This window comes from Homo sapiens, chromosome 2, assembly GCF_000001405.40.
Source record: "Homo sapiens chromosome 2, GRCh38.p14 Primary Assembly".
NCBI lineage: Eukaryota > Metazoa > Chordata > Mammalia > Primates > Hominidae > Homo > Homo sapiens.
In genome coordinates this window covers 232338355-232353884 of record NC_000002.12, presented here as the reverse complement: position 1 = coordinate 232353884, position 15530 = coordinate 232338355, and the positions used below count along the sequence as shown (strand labels likewise).

General features: G+C 54.2%; 1 protein-coding gene and 2 pseudogenes across 1 annotated transcript in view, besides 1 other annotated feature; 1 reads left to right on the top strand and 2 right to left on the bottom strand.

Moving 5' to 3' along the window:
- ECEL1P3 (endothelin converting enzyme like 1 pseudogene 3) lies at positions 2470-2935 on the top strand (annotated as a pseudogene).
- NRBF2P6 (NRBF2 pseudogene 6) lies at positions 9174-10856 on the bottom strand (annotated as a pseudogene).
- The window catches only part of DIS3L2 (DIS3 like 3'-5' exoribonuclease 2), a 382638-nt gene continuing 376642 nt past the window's right edge, over positions 9535-15530 (bottom strand). Inside the window, exon 14 of the mRNA NM_001257281.2 lies at positions 9535-10540. Within this exon, the coding sequence (NP_001244210.1) occupies positions 10310-10540 (231 nt within the window). The 3' untranslated portion in view covers positions 9535-10309. The remainder of the gene's footprint in view (positions 10541-15530) is intronic.
- Positions 10535-11044: an enhancer, noted in NCBI's record as "H3K4me1 hESC enhancer chr2:233207551-233208060 (GRCh37/hg19 assembly coordinates)". NCBI's record gives its function as "activates a minimal SCP1, AML or CMV promoter by ChIP-STARR-seq in primed H9 embryonic stem cells {active_cell/tissue: H9 hESC(primed)}" and the evidence as "EXISTENCE:reporter gene assay evidence [ECO:0000049][PMID:30033119]".

Genomic DNA, 15530 nt, shown 5'->3' with positions numbered 1-15530 from the left:
TGCACGTGTGAGTGTATATGCACATGTGTGCATGTGTGGGCATCTGCATGTGTGTGTGCATGTGTGTTCAAGTATGTGTCTGCATGTGTTTTTAAAGGAAAAGGGAGAATCACAGGATTGTTTTGTGACGATTATTCTTGTCTACCAGGACACGGGTGGCACCAGTCTGAGGCTGGACAGGCAGTTGCTGGGCAGATGTCTTTGCAAAAGTGTGTATATTTTTTGTGAAGGTTGCCATGGCCTTTGCGCAAGTGGTTGTTTGCAGTCTTTTGTGATAGTTTTCATCAGGTTTTGTGCCCGAGGACTCTCCACTCATGGCCTTTCCTGCCTCTATTTGTCAGAGTTTTTAAGAAAAGTGACTCCATTTGGTTTCTGACAACTTTCACAGGCAAGACTGGCTGGGATCTGCCTTCCTCAGGGAGGAGACGGAGGTTGGGATTCGGAACCTCTCACCTCTGCCCTTTGCACCCTCCTGGGCCTTCTCTCTCCAAGGCAGCTCTGGCCACAGCCTCCACCCCCACTGCCCCCAGCCCCTACCGCCAACACCCACGCTGCGTATCCAGCTGCCTCACTCAGGGCTTGGCTGAGTTTAGCTGGGCACCGCTGTGGCCTATCATTCTCTTGCTTGTGAGTCAAGGGGTCACTTTAGCAATTAGGGGTGGGGGACCCCAAAAGAGTGAGGGAGCCGGAGGGCTGGCTGCTTCCCTTTATGTGAAACTGCAGAAGAGCCAAGGAGCTGGGCCTCGGAGCCCCCAATAAAGGCAGTCTGTGCAGGGTGACCAGGACTGTGTGGTCAGAGGCTAAACCCACGTCACCTCCTATTGGCCGCGATTGCTGTGCTCTGGGTCAACTGTGCATTGGTACCATGGGGGCCGCACTCGCAGGCCCAGGCCTTCTTCTGGCAGGGCTCTCCGTTGCTCTCCCTGGATCAGGAGCTGGGGGAAGGGGGCGAGGCCAACCAGAAGCCCAGACCCCCCGGGGAGAGCTGATCCTGGACAAGGTTTCCCAGGAGGACAAGGAAGCTCCCTGGTGAAGGTGCGCTCCGCGCAGGCGCTGTGCGGGCAGCCCGGGCACTCCATCAGGGCCCCCTTATCCTTTAGGAGGAGTCCTCCCTGGGCGGTGCTCCAGGGCTGTGGGCTGGGGCATGACGGCCCCCAGCTGCGTAGCTCCAGCCCCTTTCCAGCAGGCTGGTGGGCGGCTCCGAGTGGGGACCTGGGATCGGAGGGGACTCCTCCCGGGACTACCCGCTGCCTTCACTTGTCCCGGGACGCAGCTGGACCCCGAGTCACCGACTGCAACCCGCGCACGACCCTCGGGAGCCTGTCTCCGCGGCCGCCAACCCACGTCCGCGCTGCCGCCGCTGTGCCAGGCGGCCCGAGGGTCGCAGAAGGAAGGAGGGGAGCGCGGGGCGGGCGAAGAAGGGTGGAGCCGCCATCGCGTCCCCCTCCTCGGGCCGACGGGCGGGCGGGGGTGAGGCAGAAGAGGCAGAGGGCGCTGAGAGACACAGGCAACGGCGCCGCTCCAGGTCCTGCCTTGGGTGGGCACCTGCCGGCTAGGTGGCCACCACAGCGGCCACCTCCGCCGCCCTTGCGGCCGCTGCGCGGAGCCTCCTGGCTTCATCTACTTCCTCGCGGCTCAGGCTGCGGCTCCCAGGCTTCGCTCTCGGGCTCCACGGACTGAGCGGCGCGGCTCCAGGACTCCGGGCGCACCCGGCCAGCCCGCGCCCCGCGAGGGGGTGAAACTTCACCCAAGTTTGGGTTCTGGGGAGAACCTGTTGAAGCCGGGATTGGCCCGGGGCAGAGACAGAGACGAGGGTCGGGGAGACTGAGCCGGTCTCGGGTTCTCCATCAGGGCCGTCCAGAGGGTGGGCTGTGTATTCGCCACCCTGGGGCGTTGGCGCGCGCCGGTGAGGAAGGGGCGGGTGAGCCGTCGGGCCACCGAGTAGAAGGAGCCAGCGAGCGGGGTTGGAGTGGTCGATCCTGCGGACTTCTGCGAGGACAAAGTTTGGTTCTTTGGCCACTTTGTGGAGCGTCTGTCTGGGTCCAGCGCGGAGAGCTGAAAGTGCTGCATAGACGGGCCCCTGACCGCACCTCCTCACTTCAGCCTCGGCTCCTTCCCTCTCACCCCACCCGGCCTTGGCTGGGGTAGGTCGTGGACAAGAAAGGCGAAGGGAAGAGGGATGGCCTTTCAATGAAGGCCCACTACGTGCCAGGCCCCGTGCCCGGCCCCTCCCGCTTCCCATCAAGGCCCTCCCAACCCAGGGACCGACACATGTGTGCAGGGAGGGGACAGGGGAGAAGACTCCACTGTGCACGCGGGGTTCGTGGCCCCGCCGAGCCCTCCTCGTCCCTGGTTTCCGCGGTGAATGAGGTCCGCAGCTGGGGCCTCTGTACCCAGACCTGCGTCCCTCCTCATGGTGCCCGGGAGCTCCGTCAGGCTGCGGCGCCTCCTGAGCTTGACACTGTTTTTCCCGCAGCTGCGTCCCGGGGCCAAGCGGAGGCCCACGAGGAGGCCGGCGGCCGCGCGCATCCCGTAGCCCAGGTGGCCCAGGGCTGCACCGCGGCGGCCTCGGCGCCTTGGAGTCCCGGTATTCGCTGAGGGCGCACTACCACGAGTTCCAGGAGGTCAAGTACTTGAGGCACTGGGGGCCTGTGCGGGGCCTCTCTGCCCCTCAGGCTTCTCTCGGGAAGCAGCGCCACCGGGGCTGGGCCGGGCTGCAGCTCTGGAACCCGCGCGAGGTGAGCCTGCTGTCGGGGCTGGTATTCGCCGCCGGCCTCTGCGCCATCCTGGGGGCTTTGCTGGCGCTCAGGTACCTGGACCGGTCGCGGCGGGCGGCGGCGCCTGCCCCGAGTGCAAGGCCTTCGCGCGCGCCGCTCGCTTCCTGGCGGCCAACCTGGATGCCAGCATCGACCCGTGCCAGGAGTTTTACTGGTTCTCAGAGGAAGAGGAGGTGCTAGTGCTGGCGACGGACTAAGTGTAGCAGGTGACCCAGCTCATCCACTCCGCACCCCATAGGGACGGCTGCAGATCCGCTAGCCCCTGTCCACCGGCCTCTAGGACCTGTCTGCTGGGTGGGCTTTGAATTCCCACCTCCACCTGTGTCCGGTAGCCACACTGAGGGAGGCAGCTGTTGAGCACTAGAATAGAAATCCAGAGCCCTAGGTTGACATCCTGGCTCTCCCCGCTGCTCTGCATTTTCTGGGATGACCTCCTGCCCCTTCTTTGTGGGGTTGTCTGGGTCCTGGGTCCAGCCACAGGCTGGGGGGCACAGGTGGGGGTGGTGCCCTTGGTGGCCCATATGCACGTCTGTCTGGACATCCACTGGCTTCACCTGGCCCGAGGATCCTGCACAACTACCTAGTGTGGCGCGTGGTGGTGGTTCTGAGTGAGCACCTGTCCCTGCCATTCCATGAGGCACTGCAGGAGTTGGCACGGGAGACAGAGGGAAGCCACAAGCTGCAGGAGCTGGCCGAGGTCTGCCTGGGCCAGGCCAACCACCACTTTGGTATGGCACTTGGTGCCCTCTTTGTACATGAACACTTCTCGACTGCCAAGGTGGGTTACCCTGGTTTAACGTGGGGAGGCTGGTGCTGAACTGAGGGTGGATCCCTCCTGAGGCCATGGTCCTAACAAGGGGAGCCCCACACGTCCCCCTGCAGCCAGTAGCACCAGGCCCTGCTAAAGGCTCAGCCTATTCTGAGGCTCCAGGCTGCTCCTCCACAGGCCTCCTCCTCCAGGAAGCCTACCTGGTCTGTCAGCGGAAGGTGACCCACTCCACGAAGCCCCTGCCCAGCCTTCTCAGCCTTGCTCGGGAGGCATGGCCTTAAGGGATGTCCAGGGTGGTTACTGGGGCAGTTTCCTCTTCTAGCCTCTGAGCTTATTGTCGGGGGTGCAGGGCCTGGATCCCCATCTCCAGCGTTTCCTCTTGGTGCTCAGAACCAAGCTCTGGGCTTTGTAAGTGGTGCCTAAAGATGGGGACACTCCTCATGCCAGGAGCGATGGACCAGAGTGAAAGGCTGCTGGGCTGACCCTTGCTCCCCGACCCGACTCTGCAGGTGTGGCAGCTGGTGGAAGACATCAAGTATGTCCTGGGCCAGCGCCTGGAGGAGCTGGACTGCACAGACGCTGAGATTAGAGTTTAAATCAGGGAGGACTGTGTCCCGGCCCCTTCCCTTGTTGCCAGCTTGACCCTGCCCCAGGTTGGTGACCTGAAGCCACACTGGCTGAAGGGAGTGGCAGGCTGTGGCTTGCCTGGCCTGGGGTCCTGAGAAAGGCAGCTCAGGGTGGGCCCCGGTGTCTGCCAGGCAAGAATGGGGTGTTGGGGGCAGATGCCATCTGGGTGAGGGCAGTGTGCATCCTGCAGCCAGAAGCCACCCCCACTCCCACTCACTGTGTCTTGTGTGGAACAAGACACCCTGTCACTTGTTCATTCACCCATTTTTTCTGTATTTCCTGGGAGCCACCTACAGCCAGACCCTGTTCTGGTGCTGAAGGGAGGTGAAGCTCGAAGCACACAGCCCAGGCCACAGTGTGGGTTTGGCCTCCTAATGCCATGAGTCCTGGAGACAGCGGGAAGTAGGTAGGTAGGGTGGTCTGGCAGCCCTGGCACCCCTTGGTTTCTCACCGGCCATGGCCCAGACAGGTGGGGCTGGCAGGAGCCTGGGCCCAGAGTTCCAGTGCTGTGGGAAAGGGTGGGGCAGGTGGTGACAACATTAAGTGGAGCCTTGTCTTTGTCATGATTGCAGCCTGGGCTGGGCCAGCCTTGCCCACGTGTACACGCCTGTGGGTGTGCACACCTCTTCCTGGAGGAGGAAGCCGGGGGAGGGACCAGTGCCCTGGGCCAGCCAGGCCTGGGCTGCATCTTCTAGAGCAGCTTGTACACTTGAGTTTGACCCCGTTCCCTTGCACAGGTAGATGAAGCTCCAGGGAGAGTCTATTCTCCAGCAGCCCTGGGCACACCCAGAGGTGTAGCCTCAACCAGAGGGTTTGGTAACCTCAGGCTGAGTTCAAAAGTAAATGTGTGAAAAGGCGTCCAATCAATGTGGGATAAAGCACATTGGGGTGGGGTGGAGAAGGTATCACAGACTCCAGGTTGGCAAAGACCTAAAAATCCACCCATAGTAGGGTGGAGGGAGGTGGATGAATAGGCGCCCCACACACCAGACTCAAGAGCATCATTCAGGACGTCAAGTTGTGCACATCCCAGGATACAGCAATTCCATCCCGGGAAAGTGTCCTGCAGAAACTTGGCACACGTGTCCCAGGATGTAAGCACCAACGTGTGCAAAGTGGCATTGTTTAAATAGCCAGACACTGAAAAACCCAAATGCTCATCAACAGCAGAAAAAGTGTCAGGAGTTTCATAACTGGAATATTATACAGCAATGGAAATGACCAGGCTTTTCTAACATACAACAGATTAAATCTCACAAACATAAAGTTGAACAAAATATACAAATCACAAAGGAACACATAGGATAGAATATATCTTACACATACATGAAGTTCAAATGGGGCAAACCTAAACTATATGGGGGATAAAACGATGAAAAGAGGCTGGGTGCAGTAGCTCACACCTGTAATCCCAGTAACTAGGCTGAGGTGGGCAGATCACCTGAGGTCAGGAGTTCAAGACCAGCCTGGCCAACATGGTGAAACCCCCGTCTCTACTAAAAATACAAAAATTAGCTGGGTGTGATGGCATGTGCCTGTAATCCCAGCTATTCTGGAGGCTGAGGCAGGATAATCACTTGAACCCGGGAGGTGGAGGCTGCAGTAAGCCGAGATCATGCCACTGCACTCCAGTCTGGGTGACAGAGCAAGACTCTGTCTCAAAAACAAAACAAAAAAACTATGAAAATAAAATGAGTATCCAAATATTCAGTGGTGGTCGGGTGTGGTGGCTCACACCTGTAATCCCAGCCCTTTAAGAGGCCAAGGCAGGAGGACTGCTTGAGCCCAGGAGTTTTAAGACCAGCCTGGGCAACATAGTGAGACCCCATCTTTAAAAAGAAAAAGAAAAAAAATTCAGTGGTAAGAAAGAATAGTGTTTTCGATGGGAAAGGTATGGGGTGGTGTGGGGGAACCCTGGCCACAATCAATTTCTTGATCTGGGTGGCGGTTACTTTGGTGTTCAATTCTGTAATTCTTCTTTAGGCCATACCTTTCTGTTTTCTGCACTCTTCATCGTGTGTGACATATCTTAAAAACAAAGACAGAAAAAGGAGTGAACACTATGCAGTGATGCAGTGTGATCCGGATTAGATGATGGGTTCCAGCCATGTTTCCCATTTTCATCGCAATCAGCATTTTCCAAAATGTGACACACACTTATTTCCAAAGTGTGGTACTCCAGATTAGGTGGTATGGGGCATGTTTTAGCTGCCATCAGACAAGACATTAAATAGTATTAAACTTCACGATGAGAAAGTTATTTTTTAGACAGGATCTAGCTTTGTCATCCAGACTGGACTGCAATGGTGTGATCTCAATTCACTGCAACCTTGGCCTCCCGGGTTTAAGCCATCCTCCTGCCTCAGCCTCCTGCGGAGCCAGTATTTTTTGTAGAGACGAGGTCTTGCTGTGTTGCTTAGGCTGGTCTCAAACTTCTGGGCTCAAGCGATCTGGCCACCTTGGCTTCCCAAACTGCTGGGATTACAGGCATGAGCCACCGCTCCCAGCCGGTTATTTTTTGATTGTCTTCCAACCCTTCTGATAATGTCAAGGAGAGAATCTCAGTTGGTTCTATGTCTTCACTATCACCCTAACTTTGCCATCCCCCCTTTAACAAGATAAAGCATGCTTTAGACTCAGAGCATCTAAGGAGGCTGTAAGAACATTGCTTTTGGTGTGTGTGGAATACACAGTTGCTTCTGTTTACGGCAAGAGATAGTGGTCTTCCATTTTTCAGTTATAGGTTTCCTAACAGATTTAAGGAAAATCTGAGCTTATGTAGAGAAAAATATTCAGCAAATCATACCACAGGCAGTAATGTGGCTACGGCAAAAAGTTGTCAAGGTGATACGTGACTAGCTGAGTGCTAAGAAGCATGGATTTAAAAGAAGTAAATTAAATAGGCTTTGGATCTGAGCTGAAATTCTCTGTCCACCACTTACTGAGTGTCCTTCAGAACGGAACCTCTCCAAGCCTTAATTCCCTCATCTATGAACGAAAAGAATGATAGTCCTGTCAACCTCAAGAAACAGAGGGAGGCTCTCCAAAACTATGGAGTTTAACTGGGAATAAGCAGCAGCACTGCATGCAGAGCCCCGGCCTTAGTAAACTAGGGGCGCATCGGAGGAGGGGAGGCAAGGGGGGCTTTGAAAGGTGAAAGGAGCAGTGCATGGTCGGTTTTTTGGGGGTGGTGGTGGTGGTGGTGGTGGTGGTGGTGTTTTTCTTGAGTTGCTCTGTTGCCCAGGCTGGAGTGCAGTGGCGCGATCTTGGCTTACTGCAACCTCCATGTCCTGGGTTCAAGTGATTCTCCTGCCTCAGCCTCCTAAGTAGCTGGGATTACAGGCACCCACCACCAAGTCTGGCTACATGGTTATTTTGAAAGGAAGAGAACACTGGTTCCAGGGGCTTATCCCAGGAGTGGACGTCAATTTACGAGTGGACACAGCGTATCAGGCAAGTGTTCTTGTGCAGCCGGCTAGCCGTCCTTGTGACTCACGTAGTGAGCTGCAAAGTCCTGTAAAGTCCTGGCAAAAGGTCTTGTTGCAGGCATCTGTGCCCTTCCCAGAGGCTTCGGAAGGGCTCTGATCATAGGCAGGTGTGCGGGAGGGCCCTCCTTCAGAACCTCCCGGCCGCATGATTTTGTTGTTGCTCTTAGGGTTGGACAGAAGTGGCTCCATTCTGATTCTGACAACTTTCACAGAGCCTGGGTCTCGGGGCTGTTGCGGGGACTTAATTAGTCCAGGGCCTGCTGCAGAGTTAGCAGGGGAGCAGGGGGAAGAGGCGACCCCTGACCTTTATGAACACGAGGCAAGTCCTGAACATCCTTGAAACCTGTTTCCAAGCTGCGGGTCTGCACAGCACACAGTTGGCCAAATGGTAGCGGAAGCAGCTCCTTCCTAGAGCACAAATCTCTAAATTCCTAATTAAGGGCTGTGTAGGCAGGACCTCCCTCTGGGCCATCCCACCTACCAAGGAGGGACATCCAGGCATTCCTCATGCACAGGAGAACTTGGGTCAGGTACCTGGGGTGGGAACAAGAAGGGACTGTCCCACCCCCAAGGCAGGAGACACCCCAACCTCCTCCCTATGGGCTTCCTGGGGAGGCCTCTCAACAGGCCATTCAGCCCCCTCAGCAGCACGAGCAGGGCACTGGGGCCTCAGCCTGTGGGAAATTGGGGGCACAGGAACGGGCTCAGTGGAGGGGGCGCTCAGCCAGGCGCCCCGGGCCCCAAGTGGGCTGATCCTTCACCATCGCTGAGGTGGCAGGGGCCAGGCCTCCCCTTGGCCCAAGGATGGTGGCACAGGCAGGGGCACCTGGTAGGTGGGTGGTTCAGCCAAGTCCTAGCTCCTGGTTGTCCTTTGAGAGTGCGGGACGAAAGACTAAATTCTGCCCTGAATGGTGCTTTGGGCATCTATATGGATGCATGGAAAGGAAAGCTTATGAAGTCAAGGATGCTGTAACTGTATTCAGTGGTTTAACCTTGATCTTGTATCATAAGAACCAGGAGAACAATTGTATTCCAACAGCACCCTGGTGGGTTGAAAACCTGTTAAGCTGAATACACTAATGGAGAGTTTCTCTTTCCTGTTCTATTTTGCACTTCAATTTCTGGTGCTTTTTAAATTATTTGGCTAACTAATTTCCAAAACCAAGCAATACACAATTTGTGAATGTTAAAGAACACAACTCAGTTCATGATCCTCGTTGAGTAAAACAACTTTCTGAAGTAAAATAAATTATTTAAATGGATGTTTCTCCTAAAATGACTTTTTAAATATTAAAAAAAAATGCCACTGAACTGTAAAAACCCTTAAAAAGAGAGAAGGTTCAAAGAGATGATCTTACAATAAGGGTTTAAATTCAGAACCTAAACTCAGGCATGTGCAAATTGAAGCTCATCATTCCAAGAATCATCTCTCTTCTCCAGAACCTTCTTGAATGTGAAAACCATCGCATCCTGTTACCTCCACCAGGGCTCAGATCTTTTTTTTTTTTTTTTAAACACAATTACTTTATTGATTTCTTACAATCAAATACTGCCAACTAGAATTCCTTCCACTCACGGATCACTAAAAACAAAGAAGACTTCCTTGGTACTTTCAAATGATGCCTTATACAATAAAGTTAGAACTTAAAATGCACCCTCATTAATTATGTAAACTGGTAATTTGTGTTAAAAAGCATAACTAATAATTTGGTTTCTTTCTTCATAACACGGAAATTTAAATATTTCTCCTGATGGTCTTGAGGTTATCACCGTTATGAGTAGTGCACAGTGCGGCACATATGGTTTCATCTGGAAAGGTGTGTCTCACACCTTATACAAAACGCCAGTAACAAAATGCATACATACGTCAACGCCTGAGACAAAGCATGTTTCAAATACGAAGCAGCCCCTCAGGCTGCCATAATATTTAGGTTTTGCATGATCACTTATGACATAACAGATTAATTATACATAACATACTTTTATACATTTTAACCCTGAAGATAAGAAAAATAATTGTTGCTTGAAAAAATTCTTTCAGGCAGCCATTTGGTTGGTGTCAAGAGAAACTGACCCTCCACGAGTTTAGTGTCTGCCAGGTCGGCATCATCAGCTCAAGTCAGTGAATCAGGTATGTGACACGCTTCACAGCGACTGTTCCCCACATCCTGGCAATGCGTCTTCTCCTACAGTACACCAGATGACGAGGCATTTCCAGGATTACCCTTGCCTGTGGCTTTCCCTTTTCATTTTTTGTTGCTGGATTAACTGTATGACTTAGTATTATTTCCTCTTCTCCCTTCTTCTATGGCCTTCCATTTTAGTTACTCATAAATCCTTTCAGAATATCCTCAGAAAGCTCCATAAAGGGAAGCTCTGGAGATGGAAAATCTGAGGGAAAAGATTGGGTATTGGAATGTACTTGGCTTTCCTGGCATCTGCTGCAAACCTCTGCAAGGCTGAAGAGGGTATAGCAGTTTCTGAATGCAGAGGCGAGCTCCGTAACTCTGACTTTTCCACAAAATCAGCACCCACATCCAGCTCCTTTTCTACTGGACCTTTTAGAAGTCTGGCCTTTTCAGCCTTTACCTGTTTACTTTCTTTCCATAATCTTTCCTTCTCCGCCACAAGGAATTCCACATGCTTCTTCAAATCTGCAACTGGGTTGTCTGCTCCTCTACTCTTATCGTGTTTTGGGGCTTTGCTTCCAATACACGGCTCTGTTGCTGAAGGAAAAACAGTCGTGTGTCTGGATCCCTGTCACATATGCCCCGAGTCTCAGGCAGGCGTTCCTCTGTGGAGGGCTGTGCTTCTGCATCTTCAGCAGAGGGGCTGTGAGAGGCCTGAAGATGGGCAGCCCCATCCTTGTCTGCGTTCTGCTGGGCCCTTTTCCGTGTCTCCTGGATGAGGAGGCGCGGTTTCATGTGGCTAGGCCTTTGCAATTCCAGTGAAAGGTGAGCCTACTCAGCCTGCGTCAGCTCCATAGCTTCAGAAAGATACAGCATGGCCTTTTTGTGACAGGAAATAGCCTCTTCATATTTGCCTGCAGCTAGTCAACAGTCTGCTTTGATGATGAGCCAGGTTGAGGGGGCCTTCAGTTACTTCCAGAAGACCCCAGGGTAGGCGGCAGTGCCGGGGAACATGGAGGGGACAGCAGAGCAGTGTGATGCAGCTGTGGACACAGCAGCCCCTCTCAAATCTTTAACCTGCCTCAGCCCTCCCAGCCCCCCCACTCTGACTCCTATCAGCCCTTGAAATCTGTGATTTCGACCCATGAACACCTCTTTGATCTGTGCCCAGCAAGGGCTGGGGCACACTCTTCTGCAGAAAAGACCCATCGACCGTGCAGCCCTTCCCCAGGTGGCACAGCTGCTCCTGGCTCACGGAGCTGCCCAGGGACTGGCCCCTCACCCTGGGCTCCCAGGGGCCCCAGCCCAGCCTGGGCTCACACATGAGCCTAGAGGTTCTATGGAGGCAATGAGGATTTGTCACTGCCATGACTGCTACTTGAGGCTTTAAGTAGAAGACCATACGCAGCCTTCTAAACGAGTGGGAACCTGAGGTTGCGTGTCAGTAGGAATTTTATCTGTTGCTAGAATAGTGGACTCTTTCATACACCCTATGCTGAATGTACAAGAAGCCTTGGAATCCAATTGTGGATCATTCCTGTGCTATTAGCATGAATACATTTTTTTCAACTTCAGTTTTTACTTTTGTCCAAGTTATATGTGAATGTAGTTTAAAGTATCAAACAGATCTACAAGGTTTGTTAAAACAAACAGCAGTTCCGTCTCCCTCCTTGCATTTTCCCATCTCTGAGGCAACCACTTTCCTCTCTCTTGGTGTTTTACTATTTACCACTGTTGCTAAATAAGATACTTCTTCATGTCTGAATTTGAAGCTATGTGTATATATGTATATATGTGTATATATGCATATATGTGTATATATGTATATGTGTATGTGTGTATGTGTATATATGTGTATGTGTATATATGTATGTGTATATATGTGTATATATGTATGTGTATATATGTATACGTGTATATATGTGTATGTGTATATGTATATGTGTATATATGTATATGTGTATATATATATGCTACACACACACACACACACACACAGCCTACTGATGTTCTATTATCTATCGTTGTGTGACAAACTACCCCCAACAACCTTAAAAAACAATCATCTATCGTCTATATTTTGATCACAAAACTGCCATCTGGGCAGGGCTGATGGGACTGCCTGTGTGTACTGAGGCCTCAGCGGGCCTGGCTTGCAGGTTGGGGGTCTGCGTGGCTGCCCAACTGGTGCTGGCTGTGGGCTGAGAGTGGGCCCCTCCATAAGGGCTTCTCCAGAGCTGCTTGGGCTTCCTTACAGAAGGGCAGGTAGGTTTCCAGAGACAGAGAGGGGAAGCTGCCAGTCTCTTAAGGCCTGGGCCTGCAACTGGCACAGTGTCCCTTCTGCCATATTAGCTTAGCAGCCCTGGGGCCTGTCAAGATTGAAGAGGCGGAAAGAGAGTTTACAGTCATCTTCAAGCCACAGCTTCCCACTGAGGAAAATGAGCATTTAGCTTCCATTTCACCAACTGCATTCCCTGCATGTGGACAGCGTCCCCATCTTCCAGTCCTCCTGATAGAGTTCTGCAGTAAACTAGATCCTGACTCGGCATTTCTATGGTGATGACTGTGTAAACGCTATTGCCAGATCGTAAACTGTGACTAGCTACCTCTTCTTGCTTGCACTGCTGTTTTCTCTGGAGCCAATCATGGTCTTATCTTCACATGTGGATCATTCTGTATGTACTACTAATCCAACCCGAGGCTCTATGCGAAGTACTTCAATGTCCTCCAGGCTCTTCTGGGGAATTCAGCTTTCTATCCATGTCACTCTACTGCTGCCCTGGGTGGGACGTCCCGGGGCGGGTTGCCAGGCACCACCTGGGGCTGAGCTGCTCCCTCACCACTGTCCCGAGCGCTTGCCCCACCGCAGCTTGAAGGACCCTGGGTCCTGTCACTACGGTTTCCTCTTTGTGGCTTCTGCCCTCATTACTGCCCATCTTTCCTGAGAAGGCGAGGGACATGTATCTGTTGAGAGCTCACCTGTCTGCAGTGTTTTTACTCTAGTGGCGCTGAAATGTGTCTCCACGGTGGCAATCATTGTGCCTCCAAGGGCCCTTGTTTTGCTCTCTAGGAACTTTTTGGAGCAACCTCCTCTCGTTTCACGATGGCTTTCTCACCTCCAGGAAGGCATTCATCATTTCTTTTTCTACAGCTTTCTTTTTCCTCTATGGTCTGTGTTCCCCACGGAGCTTGTTTTTTGTTTCATGAAGTTTTCCTCCACGAAGGGCAATCCCTGGCTGTGCACGGATAGGCATGAGCAGTGTGACTGGAAGCTCTGAGCACACCAAGGGGCTTGCAGACTGAGATGCTCTGGAGGGTGGCCTGGCTGGGTCTCCGAGTTGAGGAATCTCTGAGGTTGGGTTCTTTGTCTCCTGCTGGGATGGAGAGAGAACTGAGAGCTTTGCCAGTCCCTGGTCATGGAATGAGATTGGATGGAGTCTTCCCATCTCTGGCCTGGATGGGGAGGGCCTGGCTATCCATGCCCTGAGCGCTGCCTGGGCACGAGGGCTGTAGTCTCAGCATCCCTTATGCACTTAGCCACACATCCCCCTGAACAGGCCTGGTCCTGGCCCAGAGACCGTTCATTTTGCCTCTGTAGGAGATGGCTCTCCAGGGCCGACCAGTAAGAGGTCGGGACAGGTGCTGGCCTCTGCAGACCACGGTGGGATCTAGGGAGCTGCCTGCCTACTGAATTGTTTGCAACAATGATTCCAGCCATCCCTCTTCACCCCAGCCCAGAGGTCCCCAGAGCTGCTCTCAGTCTCAGAGCTGGGGGTCCCGTGGTGCAGGCTGGGGCAGTTCCAGCTGTTGCTGCTGCTGGCTTTGGAGTCGCCTTTCTCAGGTCAGCTACGCCTGGGACACTCACCTTCTGCTTTCCAGGATCCAAAAGTGCTGTTTGCTCCTCTGCTCTCACCTGCCATGCGGTATGGATAGGCCTTAAAATCCTCCCTTTCTTGCCTCTTTGTGGACTTGGAGGAGGGAGTGACAGCAGGAGCGCGCTACTCTGCACTCTCCGCCTATAGTAATGACTTGCAGCCAGTCAGGCCTGGCCCCAGGCACAGCTAAACGCGCCCAGGCCACCAGGGCCACCCCTGGCTCTTCTCACAGTTGCAGCAAGTGTACCCTGCTCTCTCCATACCTAGCCAGGCTCCAGCTCCCCTGACCTGGCCTGTTCCTGGCTCTCCTTCTAAGGCCCAACTCAATCCACTTCCTCCCAGGTCCTCCCGGGACCTCCTGGTCCATTCTGGCTAGAAGAGACCTCCTCTCCCCAGCCAGACGGAGTTCTATGCCGGGCAGGTCACAGCTGCACATCCCATCCTGCCTGCGCTCCCAAAAGGCACTGCTGGGCAGGCCCGGCTCTCTCGTCCATGTGGCTTTCCTGCTTCCCACCCCGGCCCTGCATGCTCAGTGTTCTACTGCCCAGCTGCAGGCACAGCAGATCCTTGTAGGCCTTGTTCTCTGAACACCCTGCAGTGGCCTGGAGAGGCTCTTGTCCCACAAAGGAGCCCAACCTGTCACTTCGGCTGCATGTGCTCACCATGGGGCCTCCTTGCTGCACTGTCCTCAGGCCACACACAACTCTGGCGGAAGCCCATCCCCACCCGTGACTTTCGCAGCCTGTCCCTGTCAGGCCTCTCTGGACATCTGCACTGTCCCCTCTCAGCCCTTCCTCCTGGCACCTGGGCAATCACAGCCCCTCCTGCCTGGCCTCCCACTTCCTGCCTCCTGGCGGCGCTGCTGGGTGGTGGAGCCGCTGCAGTGGCCTCTGGTGCTGCTTCTGCAGAGGCCTCGCCTCCTCTGGCGCCCGCTTCCCAAGCTTCATGCCCGTTCCTCCCTTCTGCGGCCTGACATCCTCCTCAGGGACCAGGAGGCTGCCACCCCAGGCTGTGTAATTCCAGTTCTTTCCTGAGGTCCTTCCTAACAGGAACTGGGGAGGCGTCAGTCTCTCCCCAGGAGGGTGGCTGCAAACTCTTGAGAGCTTCAGCTCCTTCCTCAGGCTGGGCCACTGCCTGCACCATCTTCCCCCTAGGTCCAGGGGGCCAGCACTGACCCTTCAGGGCAGGGACACACTCACTGGCTTCTGAGCATCGCCAGGCCCTGGTCATGGAATGAGGTTGGTGGTGTCTACCTCTCCCTCCCTCCCCCACGGTGTCTCCTTGAGGAAAAGACAGTCTCGCTCTGTGCCCGGGCCCTGGCCGGCAGGTGCTGTGGGACAGCCCAGGGAATGGCCAAGTCCTCCTTTAGATGAGGGTCGGTGCCTGGTCACTCTTTCTGTTGAGTCCTTTTAGCGAGGGGCCACATAAGAGGCTGGGCCCCAGTGGACCCATGGAGAGCCATCCTGTGAATGCGCGGCACCGGATTCAGTCAACCATGTTCCTTAAAGGAGTGAATGCAGACGCGGGGCTCGGTGTGACTGGTGTGGGGAGAAGGCTGGGCTGCCTTCTCTGAGCTCTGGGTAGGGTGTGGCGGCTGCCTGGGCCTGAGCCCAGGTCCTGGCTGGGCACAACCTTGCCAGGTCACTGGAGGCAGAGACCTGACCTGACCCTCGTGGATACGGTTTCCACTTCCCCAGATGGGGTGGGGTGGGCTGGGGCTGCCATGGCCTCCACAGCTCCAGGGACCCGCCATGCTCTGGGGCCAGCACGGAAGGTGAGGCTCTCTGAAGAAACTCTGAGCCCAGCATCTGCTTCCCAAACAAGCCCAGGCAGCAGGAACCCCCTTGTTCACCCCCCTGGCTACT